The 19,160-nt window shown below is 40.3% G+C and overlaps 1 long non-coding RNA gene across 1 annotated transcript in view; it reads left to right on the forward strand.

The window, feature by feature from the left end:
• The first annotated feature begins 1,167 nt into the window (after positions 1-1,167).
• The window catches only part of LINC01681 (long intergenic non-protein coding RNA 1681), a 67,192-nt gene continuing 49,199 nt past the window's right edge, over positions 1,168-19,160 (forward strand). The window contains exon 1 of the long non-coding RNA NR_146891.1: positions 1,168-1,495. This is a non-coding gene — a long non-coding RNA (long intergenic non-protein coding RNA 1681). The remainder of the gene's footprint in view (positions 1,496-19,160) is intronic.

Here is a 19,160-nt window from a genome sequence, read left to right on the forward strand (position 1 = left end):
TGGAAAAAAATAAGAAAGGCCGGGCACAGTGCCTCATGCCTGTAATACCAGCACTTTGAGAGGCCGAGACAGGCGGATCACGAGGTCAGGAGATCGAGACCATCCTGGGTAACATGGTGAAACCCCGTCTCTACTAAAAATACAAAAAAATTAGCCGGGCGCGGTGGCGGGCGCCTGTAGTCCCAGCTACTCAGGAGGCTGAGGCAGGAGAATGGCATGAACCCGGGAGGCAGAGCTTGCAGTGAGCTGAGATTTGCAGTGAGCCAAAATTGTGCCACTGCACTCCAGCCTGGGCGACAGAGCAAGACTCCATCTCAAAAAAAACCAACAACAACAACAACAACAACAACAACAAAAAGACCACTAGCTAGACTAATAAAGAAGAAAAGAGAGAAGATCCAAATAAACACAATTAGAAATGATAAAGGAAATGTTACTACTGACCTCACAGATAAAAAAACAACCACCAGAGACTACTATGACCACATCTACACATACAGACTAGAAAACCTAAAACAGATGAATAAATTCCTGGACACATACACCCTCCCAAGACTGAGCAAGGAAGAAATTGATTCCCTGAACAGACCAATAATGAGCTCCGAAATTCAATCAGTAATAAATAGCCTACCAACCAAAAAAGGCCAGGACCTGAAGGACTCACAGCTGAATTCTATTAGATGTGCAAAGAAGAGCTGGTACCATTCCTACAGAAACTATTCTAAAAAATTGAGCAGAAAGGACTCCTTCCCAACTCATTCTATGAGGCTAGCATCATCTTAATGGTAAACTTTCAATGACTCTCCACCACCAAGAGGATGAATTTCTATCTCCTTAGAATGGCATATAAAGCCATTTGTGATTTGGCCCTGGCTTCCCTCTCCACTCCAGCAGCTGTACTTAAGTACTTGTAGGTCCCTTAGGGAGCCATAATTTGTGGCATTTTTACATGTTACTTCCTTGGCATATATATTTTATTTTATTTTTGTCAGGCCCACACCACTTAGATGTTGCTGACTCTAGTAAAGCTTCCCTTACTCCCCAGGTGCTGGGCTAAGTACCCCTATTCTGGGAACCCTTCTGCTTACCATATCACAGCACTTCCGTGACTTCATAATCGTCTGTTTACTTGCCATTTCCTCTATTAAATTCTGAGCTCCCTGATGGGAGTATTCATGGTTAGAGTCTCAGTCTCTATTACGGGCCCTAGTACACTTCAGGAACTCAAAAGCTTTGCTGATATAATGCAAGGTGATAAAAAAGTAGAAAGACTTGGGATAATCTTGATTTCTGAAGGCATCAAACGGGAATTAGAGAAAGCAGCAGGAAAAACGAAGGCCTTTTTAAGTTCCATGAGAACTACGGTTTGCAAGACTGGTCAAAACAGTACAATGCAAGCGGCAAGAATCAGGAAGTGCACAGAAACAAGAAGCTCGGTGCACACTGGGATCAGGCAAGCATCTGGGAGAAGACTGTAGCAAGACTGGATCCTGAGGTAAAATCCTGTCTAGTTATGAAATCTCATTCTCTCTCTCTCTCTCTTTTTTTTTTTTTTTTTTTGAGACGGAGTTTCACTCTTGTTGCCCAGGCTGGAGTGCAATGGCGCGATCTCGACTCACCCACCGCAACCTCCGCCTCCTGGGTTCAAGTGATTCTCCCGCCTCAGCTTCCCGAGTAGCTGGGATTACAGGCATGTGCCACCACGTCTGGCTAATTTTGTATTTTTAGTAGAGACACTGTTTCTCCATGTTGGTCAGGCTGGTCTCAAACTCCCAATCTAGGGTGATCTGCCCACCTCGGCCTCCCAAAGTGCTGGGATTACAGGTCTGAGCCACCGTGCCCGGCCCTCTCTTTTTTTTAAGAGGAGACAATCCGAGGATATGAGCAATCTGAAGTCCACAGTTTCATTAGGTGAGTGTGTAGACTTGATAAGAGAGATATGTTGAAATTGTGAGTAGGTTATATTAGTAACAAAATCCTCACTCATTTCCTGCTATGCAAGAGGTCAGAAGAAACTAACTAGGTTATAGATGACGTTAATCCTTCTGTGAATGTTGATTAGAAGGTGCTCACCTGATGTCACAGATGAGCTAATTGCAAACATGCCTGCAATCCTAGATGAACTTTGGAGGACCTCTTGATTTATATAGTGATTCATGAATGGGTGCACTCTTCATCTACCTCTCTTTTCGAGAACCTGAGCCACCACTCCTAAGCACTGGCATAGAAGCATGCAAAGTCTTAAAGCATCAGCAGTTTTATAGATTTGAGCCCATCATAAAAATATAAAACAAAGTGAATAAGGTCATCCATGTGAAAGATGATCTGCTTTGTATTATGGACACATTTTGGCCCCATCTTTATTTTTTTTTTCTCTCCACTATTTCCTGTAACTGGCCTGTTTTGAGTGATGTATTGGAGAGAAGGCCTGTGTCAGATATCTTCAGCTGCCTGTCATGAGTAATTAAAACCAGTCGTGTTATTGCTTTCCTTAGTTCCAGCTGACTCTTTGATGCTTTGGTGTCCATGCCAAAAAACTACCTCTTATAATCATCAGAGGCCAGTGTTTTTGCAGAGGTCACTGCAAGCTAATTAAGCAAATATGTGAAAAATAGTTTTAAAGTATCTCTATTAGTGGAGTGTGAGCATACATGTATTTAGAGTGGGGGTTGAAGAGAGACTTTTAAAACAATAGCTGACTTCCAGAACTAGTAATTTGGTGTCGGAGAACTACGTGTATATGGCACCTTTGTACATTCATTAAGTTGGCACAATTTGACCTTTTGTTGCATGACAGACACTGTATTAGTTTCAGCAAATAAACATATAGAAAATGTCTTAAAAGATCATGGGTCAGTAATGGGACATATAGATACATAAATGATAGTAATAATTCAGGATAAAATGGACTAAATGAGTGGTATGTACAAAAAGTTAAAAAAAATAGGTAAAAGAGTAACTCCATCTCTGGGATTTGAGGGAGGTTACAGAGATTCATTCATTCAACACATTTTTTGGTTTTGTTTTGTTTTGTTTTTTTGAGACAGAGTCTTGCTCTGTCGCCCAGGCTGGAGTGCAGTGACATGATCTTGGCTCACTGCAACATCCGCCTCCCATGTTCAAGTGATTCTCGTGCCCCAGCCTCCCAAGTAGCTGGGATTACAGGCATGTGGCTAATTTTTTGTATTTTTAGTAGAGACGGGGTTTCGCCATGTTGCCCAGGCTGGTGTCAAACTCCTGAGCTCAAGTGATCCACCTGCCTTGGCTTCCCAAAGTGCTGGGATTACAGGCATGAGCTATCGTGCCCAGACTCAACACATTTTTTAATGCCTACTATGTGCCAGGCACTGCTCAAGGATCTCAGGCTACATCAAGGAATAAAACCAAGGTCCCTGGCCTTGTAGAGCTTATACTCTAGGAGAGGTGGAGAGGTCATAAATATAAACAAGTAAATTATTTTTATGTTAGAAAGTGGTGTTGGGGGGAATAGAGTAGAAGAGGGGGATTGAAATTCATGGGGGGTTGTTTGTAACTTCAAAGAGTTGTTGGTATTGGCTTCATTGAAGAGGTGGCATTTGAGAAAAAAAATGCAAAGATGAGGGCATAAGCCATGTTGATATCTGGGGAAAAAGGGAACAGCTAGTGCAATGCCCTAAGTCTTAAGTGTACCTGGCCCATTTGAGAGACAGCAAGAGGTCAGTGCAGCTGCAACAGTGAATGAGGGAAAGAGTGTAGTCATATATGAGGTTCAAGGATATGACTCGGGCAAGATTATGTAGGATCTTGTAGGTCATTGAAACGACTTTCACTTTTATTCTGAGAAGGGGAGCATTGCAGAGAAGTGACATATGACTTGTGTCTTAAAAAGATTCCTCGCTTCTGTGTCAAGAAATGATAACTGGGGTAAGAATAGAAGCAAGGAGACCAGTTAGACCAGGACTTGGTAAACTGTGGTTCATGATCCAAATCTGGCTTATTGCTTTTTGTGAATAAACTTTTATTGGGACATAGCCAGGCCCATTTGCATTACCATAATAGAGGTGAGTAGTTGCCACAAGGACTGTATGGCCCATGAAACGAAGAAATACTTACTGTATCACTCCCTATGAAAAACGTTGCTGTCCCCTATGTTAGAATATTGCTGCATTTCAGGAGAGAGGTGATGGTGGCTCAGACCAGGGTGTACCACCGAAAGTAGTGAGAAGTGTTTGGGTTCTGCATATATACAAAATTAAAACCAACTAGATTTGCTGAATGATTGGGTGGGAGGGTGTAATAAAGGAAAAGTCAAAGATGAGTGTCAAATGTTTGGCCTGAACTACCAGGAGAACATAGTTTCTATCATTTGAGATGGGGGAAGTTGGTGGTAAAACAGTTTTCATGGTGAAAGAAGATCAAGAATTAGAGCAGCTTAAACTCAACCTTGGTGAGTGTTGGGATGACACCAAGTGAAAATGTTGAGGAGCCAATTGAATATGCAAATCTAAGTTCAGAAGAGACTACTAGGCTGAAGATGGAATATTGGGAGCCATCAGCATAGAGTTGATATTTAAGGTCATGATTCTGGATGAGATTACCAAAGGAATGAGTAAACACAGAGAAAAGAACAAAGGATGAATCCTAGAACTCATAATCATGAAGTTTGGGAAGAAAAGGAAAAACCATTAAAGGATACTAAGGAGGAATGACCAATAAAGTAGACCAGTAAATTAAATCAAGAGTAGGGTGTTCTGGAAGCCAAATGAAGAAAGTTTATCCAGGAGGACAGAGGAATCAAATATATCAAATATTTCTGATAAGTCAAATAAGAAGAGAACTGATAATTGACTATTGCAATTTTGGTAGACTAGGTAGGACCAAAAATTGGATTGGAATAGATATAATTAAGTTTGGAAAGAGAAGAATTAGAGAGAAGGAGTACAGAAAACTCTTTCAAGGAGTTTTTGCTGGAAAGGGAGACAAATTTGCAAAAGAATAAGGCAATTTCAGGCAAGGGAAGTAGGATTAAGAGAAAGATTCTTGTTTTTAAGATGGAAGAAATAATTTTTCATATAATTTCAACTTTTATTTTAGAGTCAGGGGTATATGTGCAGGTTTGTTATATGGATATATTGGGTGATGCTGACGTTTGGGGTATGATTGATTCTGTCACCCAGGTAGTGAGCATAGTACTCAATAGGTTTTTGACCCTTGCCTACCTCTCTTCTTTCCACCCTAGGAGTCCCCAGTGTCTACTGTTGCCATCTTTATGTCTATGACCACCCAATGCATAGCTTTCACTTACAAGTGAGAACATGTGGTATTTGTTTTTCTGTTCCTGAATTAATTCACTTAGGATGATGGCCTCCAGCTGCATCCATGTTGCAGCAAAGGACATAAGTTCATTCTTTTTTATGACCATGTATTATTTGATGGTGTATATGTACCACATTTTATTTATCCAATCCACTATTGATGGACACCTAGGTTGATTCCATGTCTTTGCTATTGTGAATATTGCTGCAATGAACATACACATGCATGTGTGTTTTTGGTAGAATGATTTATTTTCCTTTGGGTATATAGCCAGTAATGGGATTATTGGGTGGAACGGTTGTTTCATTTTAAGTTCTTTGAGAAATTTCCAAACTTCTTTCCACAGTGGCTGAACTAATTTACATTATTTCCAGCAGTGTATAAGCATTCCTTTTTCTCTGCAGCCTCATTAGTGTCTGTCGTTTTTTGACTTTTTAATAACAGCCATTCTATCTGGTGTCAGATGGTATCTCATTGTGGCATTGACTTGCGTTTCTCTGATGATTAGTGATGTTGAGCATTTTTTCATGTTTGTTGGTTTGTTTTCTTTTGAGAAGTGTCTGTTCATGTCTTTTGCCCACTTTTTAATGAGGTTATTTATTTTTTGCTTATTGAATTGTTTAAGTTCCTTGTAGATCCTGGATATTAGAACTTCATCATATGCATATTGTGAATGTTTTCACTCATTCTGTAGGTTGTCTGTTTATTTTGTTAATGGTTTCTTTGGCTATGCAGAAGCTCTTTAGTTTAATTAGGTCCCACTTGTCAAATTTTGTTTTTGTTGCAATTGCTTTTGAGGACTTAGTCATAAATTATTTCCAAGGCCAATGTCCAGAGTGGTATTTCCTAGGTTTTCTTCTAGGGTTCTTATAGTTTGAGGTGAAGGTGGAAGAAATAATTTAATCGTGTGTATGTATTTTGATGGGAAAGATTTGATAGAGATGGAGAAATTAATGATTTAAGAAAGGAATTGCTAGAGTAATGTCATTGAGTAGTTAAGAGAAGATAGAATCTGGTTTGCAAATGGGAGGATTGAATTTTAAATAGGAACATGGATAAATAAATCCTCCCTAGAAGCAGGTGGGAGTTTATGTGTGCAGATTCTGGAGGGGGTGGTGGGAGTCTATGGAAATCTTTTTTTACTGCTTTAATTTTCTAAGTGAAGTAGAAAAAAAAGATCATTATCTGAGAGTAAAGATTGAGATGGTGTATTGTGGGTTTGAGAAGAGAGGAGAAAGAACAAAATAGCCATCAAGTATACGGTAGAATGAATGGATTGGAAAAGTATAGTATGATCATCAAGCAACAGACAGGCTAACTTAAGGTTCATAATCTTGTGCATTTGTCTTCAGCTCATTCTTTTGCATGGTTGTAGGCACAATGATAAATTTAAGCAGGGTTGTGATTTTTTCAAGTGCGTATAGCAGGGACAAGGAATTGAGAGTGTATACAAATGAGTGAATATGTTAATTAACCATGGAATTTAAGATGAGTAAGTATGAAAGAGAGGATATTAATGAGGTTACAGACAGTGAAAAGACAGGAAGAGGAATGGATTGGAGATCCTGGTGAAATTGGAATTGAGGAATTAGAGGGAATAAAGTGATAGATGGAAGTTATGGTCAGAGAATGGGATAAACTAAATTGAGATTATACAGGGATTATTGGTGATGAGAAGGTCTAGGGTTCTAAACATATAAACATATGGCTGAGGTAGTATGAGGGTTGGATCACTGAAAAAGAGGAGTTTAGCAAACTGAGAGGCTAGAGTGTTAGACGGAATCTCTAATGGGTGTATTGCAATCATCCAAGAATCAAGACATAAGTGGTATTGGATAGGGTGAAAGTGAACCAAGCATTAAAATCAGTGGGAAATAAAGGGGTATTACCTGGGGGCTGGTTGGTGACATAAACAATGAGGGATAATGGGTAATATGATTTATATGAGATTAACCCCTAGAGTACTTAGTGAGGAGAGAAAGAAAGAGAATAGTTTGGAAATAGCAATGAGGAGCAAATGTGAACCTACTGCACATATGATTTAAATTTTTACATGGGACTCCAAGGATAAGTGGATAAGGGAGGTAGAGTCTGGGGAAAGAATATTTCAGGCATAGGGAAATCATTGGGCATTTAATTGCATGTGAAAAGACATGTAATTTAAGATATGGTGAATATATCCACATGGCTGCATTATCAAGTGGAAGCATGGTGGTTACAGATGTAGAGAGATCTGGACATGGTAAAGCAAGATGGAAGAAAACGAAGTTGCTGAGACTAGCTAGGTTGGGGCAGATTGTGCAAAGAGACTATCTAAGGTTTTTAGTCAGGGCACTGATCTCATCAGATTATTTCACAAAAATAAATCTTGCTACAGTGTAGAAAGAGAGGTAGAGGCAAAGAAGGCAACTAGAAAGCTACAGCAATAATGAAAACTACAGGTAGAAGGGTTTGAACTTAGGCTGTTCAAGGGATAGAGGAAACATTGGGAAGGGAAAATCAACAGGAGCTGGTGATTGTTTGAATGTGGTTAGTGAGGCAAAGAAGGGAATCAAGGAAGATTTGAAGGTTTTTGACTATAGCCACTGGGTAAAATATATTACCTTTTACTAGTTTAGGGAATAAAGGAGAACAACTAAGATGGACTGACAGATTATACATCTTTTAATAGGCAATAACATCGCAGAGCCCTAAGGCATACACCTTATTCTCTAGATAGATGTTTATTTATTTCACGCAACTAGACATTCCTTAAAGTATCTTCAACACTGGTGAGGATTCCAAGAGATATTTTCAACACTGGTGAGGATTCCAAGAGACCAATCGTATTCTTTTATCTAAATGATTTAGTCAATTTAGAAATAGACTTGAGGACCAAGGATCACATATTACTTTACTATATATAAAGCAAAGTTGGAGAATGCATCTTGGATCGGCATTCCAAACTTTCTTCCTCCCACATCCTACCTCTTCCTACCTCACAAGTCTAGATCTTGGGATATGATTACCCCTGCCTGTCTGCTGCACCCCATCCCCTCTCCAAAACAAAATAGTCTAGTGTGATGGGTTAATATTTGCCAAGACAGATACAAAGAGATCTGCAATCTCCCTTGATCCAGGGAGAATGGATGGCCCTGACAGGAAAGGAGAAAATGATTGCCACATCTTTATGCCTTCTTTCCACAGTGAAACAGGAGCAAGCAAAAAGACCACAGCTTGCTTTGTGAGTCTAATCACTTTTCCAAATCCTAATGAGAGGAGCACTACTTTGACTGTGGGAAGGAATGAGTAAGATATAGAAAAGGGACAGAAATGTCCCCTCTTCCCTTACTGATCTCTCCTGGAAGTGGAATGGAAATCTTTGCCTCTCTATGGAAATTGAGGAGTGGGGTAATAAGCACTTCCCTAGAAAGGAAAGAGTCCATGTTAGATGTAAGCAAACTGGCAATATAAGTGCAGGTAAGGTAGTCTAGTCATATGTGGCCCCTAAGTAGGGAAACATACCTCCCTGTGTACAAAATGTAGGGCCAGAGCACTCTAAGGGAAACAGAAGATAGAAGAGTCAGATAATACATTCAGAACAACAACAACAAAAAAAATCAAGGTCCTGGGAAAAGATGACTGAAGCTCAGTATATCAATTACATCAATGATTGGATCGCAGGTTGAGCTAGGTGAAAAGGGGAATGTTTATTATATGGATGCAAGGGTGATATAAAACTCAGTGGCAAGAATGCAGCCAGACCTTGGGATGCGACCAGAGATGAGAAAGCTGCTGGAAACCAGGAAATAGACTCTTCTATTCAAGCTTTGCTTTGCTCTGAACATATGCTTGAGTTTTCTCTTTCCTTGTGGGTGGCATTCTCTGCTCCCTAGTCCACATAACAGAAAACATGGGCACCCTCAGCTTCCCAGTTTGCATGTTCTGTATTCAGCCACAGGGAACGAATGATGGAGTGATGGACTATCTCTGTCTTGGTAGCCCTTGCCCTTGCTTTCAATTCCCATTTCACTGAGAATGGTCACCAACTGTTCTGGCAGAGTCTCACTTCTTCTCCTATCAATCAACTGTGGCCAGGGAGTAAGGTCACATTGTGCAATATGGTTGTGTCTCTCTCTTTCTGTCCACCCCCCACTCTCAGAGGCCTTTGAACCAAAGCAACTCCATCTTGAATAGGAGCTGGGCAAAATATTGCTGAGATCTACTGGCTGCATTCCCAAGCAGTTAAGGCATTCCCAGTCACAGGATGAAATAGGAGGTCAGCACAAAATACAGGTCATAAAGACGTTGCTGATAAAACAGGTTGCAGTAAGGAAGCTGGCTAAAACCCACCAAAAATCAAGATGGCAATGAGAGTGACCTCTGGTTTTCCTCACTGCTATGCTCCCACCAGCACCATGACAGTTTACAAATGCCATGGCAGCGTCAAGAAGTCACCCTCTATGGTGAGGCATGAAAAAGGGGAGGCATGAAAAATCCACCCCTTATTTAGCATATAATAAAGAAATAATCATAAAAATGGGCAACCAGCAGCCCTTGGGGGCTGCTCTGCCTATGGAATAGCCATGCTTTATTGCTTTGCTTTTTTAATAAACTCATTTTCAACTTACTCTATGGACTCTCCTTGAATTCTTTTTTTTTTTTTGAGATCCAAGAACCCTCTGTTGGGGTCTGGATTGAGACCCCTTTCTGGTAACACAGCTATGAGCTATAGGTGAGGAGCACATTTAAAGGAGGAGGCAAGCTGGGAAGGCACTCCAAAATTATCTTCAGTGCCTGAGTGTCTTCATAGTCTTCGTTGTCTTCAGTGACTAAGATCAGAAAACAATAAGAAAATTTAAATACATGTAATATGTCCATGCTATGCCCTAGAGATATACTTAAGCAGTCTCTTGAGAGGAATTCTTTAGAAGACTTTCTTGGGAAGTCAGTTCACACCTGCATTTGGAACCTTAGCAAGAATAAGAAGGCTGCAATTTTCCTGCACCTTTGGGTTAAATACGTGTACAGAAAGGATTTGGGTTATTGCAAGAAGAACGAAAGGATGTCCTGGAAGAATGTCTGATTCTCACCGCCTCTAGGAATATTTGTCAAGAAGGAAAAAGTAATGTGGCAGACAGGCCCTCTGTATCTACCAGATGTTCTTTGACAATATGTATTGTTAGAATGGAAATTTAAATTATGAGAACCAGGCCCATCAAACAATGAAATATCTAGTGACGTTTTGAGTCCTATTCTGTAGGCCTTTCTGAGTATTGCTCTGAGTCTATCCACTATTTATTTCTTTTTAAAAATCGTATGATTTAAGTTGAACACCATGCTATTTTGGTGTACATAGTGAAATTACTACAATGGGTGAGCAAATTAACATATCTGTTTATTGAAATGAAGTGTAAGTTTATCTCCGAGATACTGTTTGGCCTTTCCTTGGATCAGAAAGTACATGAGGAGAACTTTTCTCTGTCTCTTCCTCACTTCAGCCCTTTGGAATTTCCTTTCAAATGGTGGGAAAATAATAGTAATAAGCACTCAGTGAATGCTAAGTTCTTTACATCTGTGATTTTACTTAATTCTTTCAACAGCCCTGTGAGATAGGTGTTTGCACTTTATAAGTATAGAAACTGAGCCTTAGAGAGTTTAAGGAAATAGCCCAAGGTCATGTGACTGGTTAAAGGACCAATCACAAATTGGATCCCAGTGCTGCTGATATAAAAGTCTGTACTCTCAAAATAAACACCACAAATATGATGATGTCTGGGAAACATGAAAAGACTATATTTATAATAATTTATTTATATGACTCTGTTGTAAGAAGAGATGGATTGAAACATTTGATTGTATATGAGAAAAACTTGGAAGTAGATGAGCAAGTAGAGCTTCATAAACTTGATTTAGTAATTTTCCTGAGTGTACCTGAGTGAGGGTAATGGCTTTCCCCTTCACTCCCAACAAGATTCTTGTCCCACTCACTTATAATGTCAGAAGATTCTTCAGATTATTTTTTCTTTTCTTAAATTTTGATTATCTTTTATTAATACATAATATTTGTACATGTTTATGTGGTACATGTGATATTTTGTTACATGTATACAATGTGTAATGATCAATAATGGTATTTAGGATATCCATCACCTCTGTCATTTATCATTTCTTTATGTTGGGAACATTTTAAATCTTTCATTCTAGCTATTTTGAAATATACAATGTATTGTCATTAACTATAGTCACTGTCCTGTGCTATTGAACACTAGAATTTATTCCTTCAATTTAACTTTATGTTTGTACTCATTAACCAACCTCCCTTCATCACTCCCTCCCCAGCCTCTGGTAACTCTCATTCTACTCTCTACCTCTATGAAATCAGCTTTTTTTCTTTTATTTGCTCCCATATACAGGTGAGAACATGCAATATCTGTCTTTCTGTACTTGGCTTATGTCACTTAACATAATGACCTCCAGTTCCATCCAGGTTGCTGCAAATTACAGCATTTCATTCTTTAATATGGATAAATAGTATTCCATTGTGTACATACCACATTTTCTTTAACCATTTATTCACTGATGTACTATTAGGTTGATTACATATCTCGGCTATTGTTAATAATGCTGCAAAAAACATAGGGGTACAGGTATCCCTTTGGTATACTGCTTTTCTTTCCTTTGGATAAATATCTAGCAGCTGGAGTGCTGGATCTTATGGTATTTGTATTTTTAGGTGTTTTTTTTTTTAAGTTCAGGGGTACATGTGCAGGATGTGCAGGTTTGTTATATAGGTAAACGTGTGCCATGGTGGTTTGCTGCACCTAAGTGGTGTCGCATCACCTAGGTATTAAGTCCAACATCCATTAGCTATTATTCCTGATGCTCTCCCTCCTGGCTTCACACCCTCTGACAGGCCCTGGCGTGTATTGTTCCCTGTCATGTGTCCATGTGTTCTCATCATTCAGCTCCCACTTAGAAGTGAGAGCATGTAGTATTTGGTTTTCTGTTCCTGAGTTAGTTTGCTGAGGATAATGGTGTCTAATTCCATCCATGTCCCTGCAAAGGACATGATCTTGTTTCTTTTTATGGCTGCATAGTATTCCATGGTGTATATGTACCACATTTTCTTTATCAAGTCTATCATTGATGGACACTTAGGTTGATTCCATATCTTTGCTATTGTGAATAGTGCTGCAACGAACATACACGTGCATGCATCTTTGTAATAGAATGATTTATATTCCTTTGGGTATATACCCAGTAATGGGATTGCTGGGTTAAATAGTATTTCTGCCTCTAGGTCTTTGAGGAATCATCACACTGTCTTCCACAATGGTTGAACTAGTTTACAATCCCACCAACAATGTATAATTATTCCCTTTTTTCTGCAACCTCACCACCAGCATCTGTTGCTTTTTGACATTTTTTTTTGAGACAGGGTCTCACTCTGTCACTCAGGCTGGGGTGCAGTGGCATGATCTTGGCTCGTTGCAACCTCTGCCCCCTGGTCTCAAGTGATCCTCCTGCCTTAGCCTCCCAAGTAGTTGGGACCATAGACATGTGCCACCATATCTGGCTAATTTTTGTATTTTTTGTAGAGATAGAGTTTCAACATGTTTCCCAGGCTGGTCTTGAACTTCTGAGCTCAAGCAATCTGCCCACCTCATCCTCCCAAAGTGCTGGGACTACAAGTGTGAGCCACCGTATCCGGCCTTGACTTTTTAATAATAGTCATTCTGACTGGCATGAGATGGTATCTCATTGTGGTTTTGATTTGCATTTCTGTAATGATCAGTGATGTTGAGCTTTTTTTCATGTTTGTTTGTCCCACGTATGTCTTCTTTTGAGAAGTGTTTGTCCATGTCCTTTGCCCACTTTTTAATGGGGTTATTTGTTTTTTTCTCATAAATTTGTTTCAGTTCCTTGTAGATGCTAGATATTAGGATTTTGTCAGACGGATAGATTGCAAAAATTTTCTTCCATTCTGTAGGTTGTCTCTTCACCCTGATGATAGTTTCTTTTGCTGTGCTGAAGCTCTTTAGTTTCATTAGATTCCATTTGTCAATTTTTGCTTTTGTTGCAACTGCTTTTGGCATTTTCACCATGAAATCTTTGACTGTGTCTGTGTCCTAAATGGCATTGCCTAGATTTTCATCTAGGATTTTTATAGTTTTGCATTTTACCTTTAAGTCTTTAATCCATCTTGAGTTGATTTTTGTATATGATGTAAGGAAGGGGTCCTGTTTTAATTTTCTGCATATGGCTAGCCAGTTCTCCCAGCACCAATTATTAAATATTAAATCCTTTCCCTATTGCTTGTTTTTGTCAGGTTTGTTGAAGATCAGATGGTTGCAGCTGTGTGGTCTTATTTTTGGGTTCTCTGTTTTGTTCTAGTGTTCTATGTGTCTGTTCTTGTACCAGTTCCATGCTGTTTTGGTTACTGTAGTCCTGTAGTATAGTTTGAAGTCAGATATTGTGATGCCTCCAGCTTTGTTGTTTTTGCTTGGGATTGTCTTGGCTATTCAAGCTCTTTTTCATTTTCATATGAATTTTAAAATAGTTTTTCCTAATTCTGTGAAGAATGTCAACAGTAGTTTAATGGGAATAACATTGAATTTATAAATTGCTTTGGGCAGTATGGCTGTTTTCACAATACTGATTTTTCCTATCCATGAGCATGGAATGTTTTTCCATTTGTTTGTGTCACCTCTGATTTCTTTGAGCAGTGGTTTGTAGTTCTCCTTGAAGAGGTCCTTCGTTTCCCTTGTCAGTTTTACTCCTAGGCATCTTATTCTTTTTGTGGCAATTGTGAATGGGAGTTCATTCATGATTTGGCACTCTGCTTGCCTGTTGTTGGTGTATAGGAATGCTTGTAATTTCTGCACATTGCTTTTGTATCCTCAGACTTTGTTGAAGCATCAGAAGCTTTTAGGCTGAGACAATGGGGTTTTCTAGATATGGGATCATGTCATCTGCAAACAAAGATAGTTCGACTTCCTCCCTTCCTGTATGAATACACTTTATTTCTTTCTCTTGCCTGATTGCCCTGGCCAGAACTTTCAATACTATGTTGAATAGGAATGGTGAGAGAGGGCATCCTTGTTCTGTGCCAGTTTTCAAGAGGACTGCTTCCAGCTTTTGCCCATTCAGTGTGATATTGGTTATGGATTGGTCTTATTATTTTGAGCTATGTTCCTTCAATACCTAGTTCATTGAGAGGTTTTTTGTTTTGTTTTGTTTTGTTTTGCCAGAGTCTTTCTTTGTTGCCCAGGTTGGAGTGCAGTGGCATGATCACAGCTCACTGTGAGCTCCATCTCCAAAGTTTAAAAGATTATCCTGCCTCAGCCTCCCAAGTAGCTGGAACTACAGGTGTGCGCCACTACACCTGGCTAATTTTTGTATATTTAGTAGAGATGGGGTATCACCATGTTGGCCAGGCTGGTATCAAACTCCTGACCTCAAGTGATCTGCCTGCCTCGGCCTCCCAAAGTGCTGGGATTACAGGTGTAAGCCAATGCACCCAGCCAGTCACTATGCCTGGCTGAAAGTTTTTAACATGAAGGAATGTTGAATTTTATTGAAAGCCTTTTCTGCATCTATTGAAATAATCACGTGGTTTTTGTCTTTAGATCTATTTATGTGATGAATCACATTTATTGGTTCGCATATGTTGAACCAACCTTGCATCCCAGGGATGAAGCCTACTTGATTGTGGTGGATTAGCTTTTCGATGTACTGCTGAATTCAGTTTATAGAGGGTTTTTGCATCAATGTTCATTATGATTGGCCTGAGTTTTCTATTTTTGTTGTATCTCTACCAGGTTTTGGTATCAGTATGATGCTGGCCTCATACAATGAGTTAGGGAGGAGTCCCTCCTTTTCAATTTTTTGGGGATAGTTTTAGTAGAAATAGTACCAGCTCTTCTTTGTACCTTCAGTAGAATTCAACTGTGAATCCATCTGGTCCTGGGCTTTTTTTGGTTGGTAGGCTATTACTGCCTCAATTTCAGAACTCATTATTTGTCTATTTGGGGAATCAGTTTCTTCCTGGTTCAGTTTTGGGAGGGTGTATGTGTCCAGGAATTTATCCATTTCTTTTAGATTTTCTAGTTTATGTGCATGGAGGTGCTTACAGTATTCTCTTGTGGTTGTTTGTATTTCTGTGGTGTCAGTAGTGATGTCCCTTTTATCATTTCTGATTGTGTTTATTTGAGTCTTCTCTTTTTTTCTTTATTAGTCTAGCTAGCAGTCTATTTTATTATTTTTTTCAATAAATCAACTCCTGGATTCATTGATTTTTTGAAGGCTTTTTTGTGTTCTGTCTCCTTCAGTTCAGCTGATATTTTTTTTTCTTGTCTTCTGCTAGCTTTGGGGTTTGTTTGTTCTTAGTTCTCTAGTTCTTTTAGTTGTAAGATTAGGTTGTTAAATTGAGATCTTTCTAGCTTTTTTGATGTGGTCATTAGTGCTATAAATTTCCCTCTTAACAATGCTTTAGTTGTGCCCCAGAGATTCTGGTACATTGTATTTTTGTTCTCATTGGTTCAATGAACTTCCTGGTATTTGCCTTAATTTCATTATTTACCTAAGAGTCATTCAGGAGCAGGTTGTTCACTTTCTATGTAATTGTATGGTTTTGAGTGAATTTCTTAATTTTGAATTCTAATTTGATTGTGCTGTGGTCTGAGAGACTGTTTATTATGATTTCGCTTTTTTTGCACTTGCTAAGGAGTGTTTTACTTCTGGGTATGATCAATTTTAGAGTAAGTGCTGTGTGGCAATGAGAAGAAAGTATACTTTGTTGTTTTTGGGTGGAGAGTTCTATATATATCTGACAGGTCCACTTGATCCAGAACTGAGTTCAAGTCCTGAATGTCTTTGTTAATTTTCTTTCTCAATGATCTGTCTAATATTGTCAGTGGGATATTAAAGTCTCCCACTATTATTGTGTGGGAGTCTAAGTTACTTTGAAAATCTCTAAGAAATTGCTTTACAAATCTGGGTGCTCCTGTATTGGGTGCATATATATTTAGGATAGCTAGATCTTCTTGTTGAATTGAACCCTTTACCATCATGTAATACCCTTTGTTTTTGATCTTTGTTGGTTTAAAGTCTGTTTTGCCAGAAACTAGGATTGCAACCCCTGCTTTTTCCTGTTTTCCATTTGCTTGGTAAATTTTCCTTCATCCCTTCGTTTTGAGCCTGTGTGTGTCATTATGTGTGAGATGGATCTCTTGACAACAGCATACTGATGGTCTTGCTTCTTCATCCAGCTTACCACTCTGTGTCTCTTATCTGAGGCCTTTAGCCCATTTACATTTAAGGTTAGTGTTGTTACGTGTGGATTTGATCCTGTCATCATGTTGCTAGCTGGTTATTTTGCAGACTTGTTTATGTGGTTGCTACATAGTGTCACTGGTCTGTGTATTTTAGTGTATTTTTGTATTGGCTGGTAATGATTTTTACTTTCCATATTTAGTGCTCCTTCAGGAGCTCTTGCAAGGCAGGCCTATTGGTAACAAATTCTCTTCACATTTGCTTGTCTGAAAATAATCTCATTTCTCCTTTGCTTATGAAGCTCAGTTTGGCTGGATATGAAATTCTGGGTTGGAAATTCTTTTCTTTAAGAATGTTGAATTCTTAAAGAATTGGCCCCCCATTTCTTCTAGCTGGTAGGGTTTCTGTGGGGAGGTCCACTGTTAGTCTCATAGGCTTGCCTTTGTAGATGATATGGCTTTTCTCTTTGGCTGCACTTAACATTTTTTCTTCCATTTTGACCTTGGAGAATCTGATGATTATGTCTCTTGTGCATGATATTCTCATGAAGTATCTTACTGTGGTTCTCTGCATTTCCTGAATTTTAATGTTGGCCTGTCTTGCTAGGTTGGGGAAGTTCTCCTGGATGATATCCTAAAGTATGTTTTCCCACTTGCTTCCATTCTCTCTGTCTCTTTCAGGTACCCCAATCAGTCATAGATTTGGTCTCTACATAATCTCATATTTCTCAGAGGTTTTGTTCATTCCTTTTCATTTTTTTTCTCTATTCTTGTCTGCCTATCTTATTTCAGAATGATGGTCTTCATGTTCTGAGTTTTTTTCCTGCACTTGGTCTATTCTGCTATTAATACTTGTGATTGCATTGTGAAGTTCTTGTAGTGTGTTTTTCAGCTCTAACATGCTGGTTATGTTCTTCTTTAAACTGCCTGTTTTGGCTGTCAGCTCCTGTGTTGTTTTATCATGATTCTTAGCTTCTTTGCATTGTGTTACAACATGTTCCTTTAGCTCAGCAAAATTCATTATTACCCACCTTCTGAAGCCTAATTCTGTCATTTCAGCCATCAGCCTCAGCCCAAAGGCTCAGCCTCAGCCCTTGCTGGAGAGGTGTTGTGATCATTTGGAGGAAAATGGGGACTTTTTGAGTTTACAGCATTTTTGTGTTGATTCTTTCTCATCTTGGCGGGCTTATCTACCTTTGATCTTTGAGGTTGCTGATCTTTAGATGGGGTTTTTGTGGGGTTTTGTTGTTGTTGTTTTCTCTTTGTTTGTTTTTCTTTTAACAGCCTGCTGACTCTTCCATAGGGCTGCTGCAGTTTGCTGGGTGTCTGCTCCAAACCCTAGTTGCCTCAGTTTTTCCCATACCTGGAGGCATCATCAGTGAAGGCTGCAATACATCAAAGATGGCAGCCTGCCCTTCCTCTGGAAGCTCCTTCCCAGGGAAGTACTGACCTATCGCCAGCTGGAACACACCTGTAGGAGGTGGCTGGAGACCCTGGTTGGGAGGTTTCACCCAGTCAGGAGGAACAGGATCATGGACCAGCTTAAAGAAGTAGTCTGGCTGCTTTTTGGTAGAGCAGCTTTGTGGTGTCGGAGATCCCTTCAGTGTCTGATGGGTTTGGGGTCTACCAAGGCCCTCAGGCTGGACCAGCTAAGAAGCTCGAATAACCACAGTGGTGGCCTGCCCTGCCTCTCAGGCACTCTGTCCCAGGGAGAACATGGGCAGGGGTGTCTGAAGGCCCTGGATGGGAGGACACACCCTATGAGGAGGAGTGGATTGGGGGTCCTGCTTAAAGAAGCAGTCTGGCCATGCCTCCACAAAACAGCTGTGTTGTGGTGGGGAACTGCCTTTTCCCCTGTCAGATTGGACTCTTTAAAGCCCACAGGCTGGAATGGCTGTCATCCAACCAACCCAGGTGGCAGCCTTCCCCATCCCCAGGCACTCTATCCCAGGGAGAGATCAGCACTCTTTCCCTAATACCTGCTGGCAGGCATGGCTGTAGGGTCCAACTGGGAGATCCTGCCCATTGAGAAGTGGGTCAGGTCCCTGCTTAAAGAAGCAGTCTGCCAATGATCTGGCAAAGCCGCTATGTTGTGCTGGTGGGGAGACCCTTCCTCGTTCAGACTGTCTGGACTCTCCAAAGCCCAAAGGCTGGAACTGCTGAGTTGACCAAACAGCAGAGATGGTGCCTGCCCTTCACCCCCAACCCCCGACCGGGGCTCTGTCCCATCTCAGACCTATTCCATTCTGTTGCTGGTAGCTACCAAGCTGGGATTCCAAGCCAGTAGGTCTTATCTGCTCAGCTCCCTGGATTCTCAGCTCCCTGGATTCTGCCCCTTCCTAGCGTGCATGCAGTTGTCCCACCTTGCCTGAGTTGCAGACATGTTTGTTGGGGTTCCTGAGGCCAGAGTATCTAAAGCTCCTGGGTCTCTCTGCGTGCCTGAGCAGCTGCTCTGCCAAGACTCCACACAGCTCTGTGGGTCAGAACCAAGATTCTGATAGCGTGGGCCACAGGGGGATCTCCTGATCTGCAGGTTGCCAAGATCAATGGGAGAAGCATGGTTTCCCAGCGTCGCACAGTCACTCACCACTCCCTTTGGGTGTGGTTGGG

Source organism: Homo sapiens, chromosome 1 (assembly GCF_000001405.40).
Source record: "Homo sapiens chromosome 1, GRCh38.p14 Primary Assembly".
NCBI lineage: Eukaryota > Metazoa > Chordata > Mammalia > Primates > Hominidae > Homo > Homo sapiens.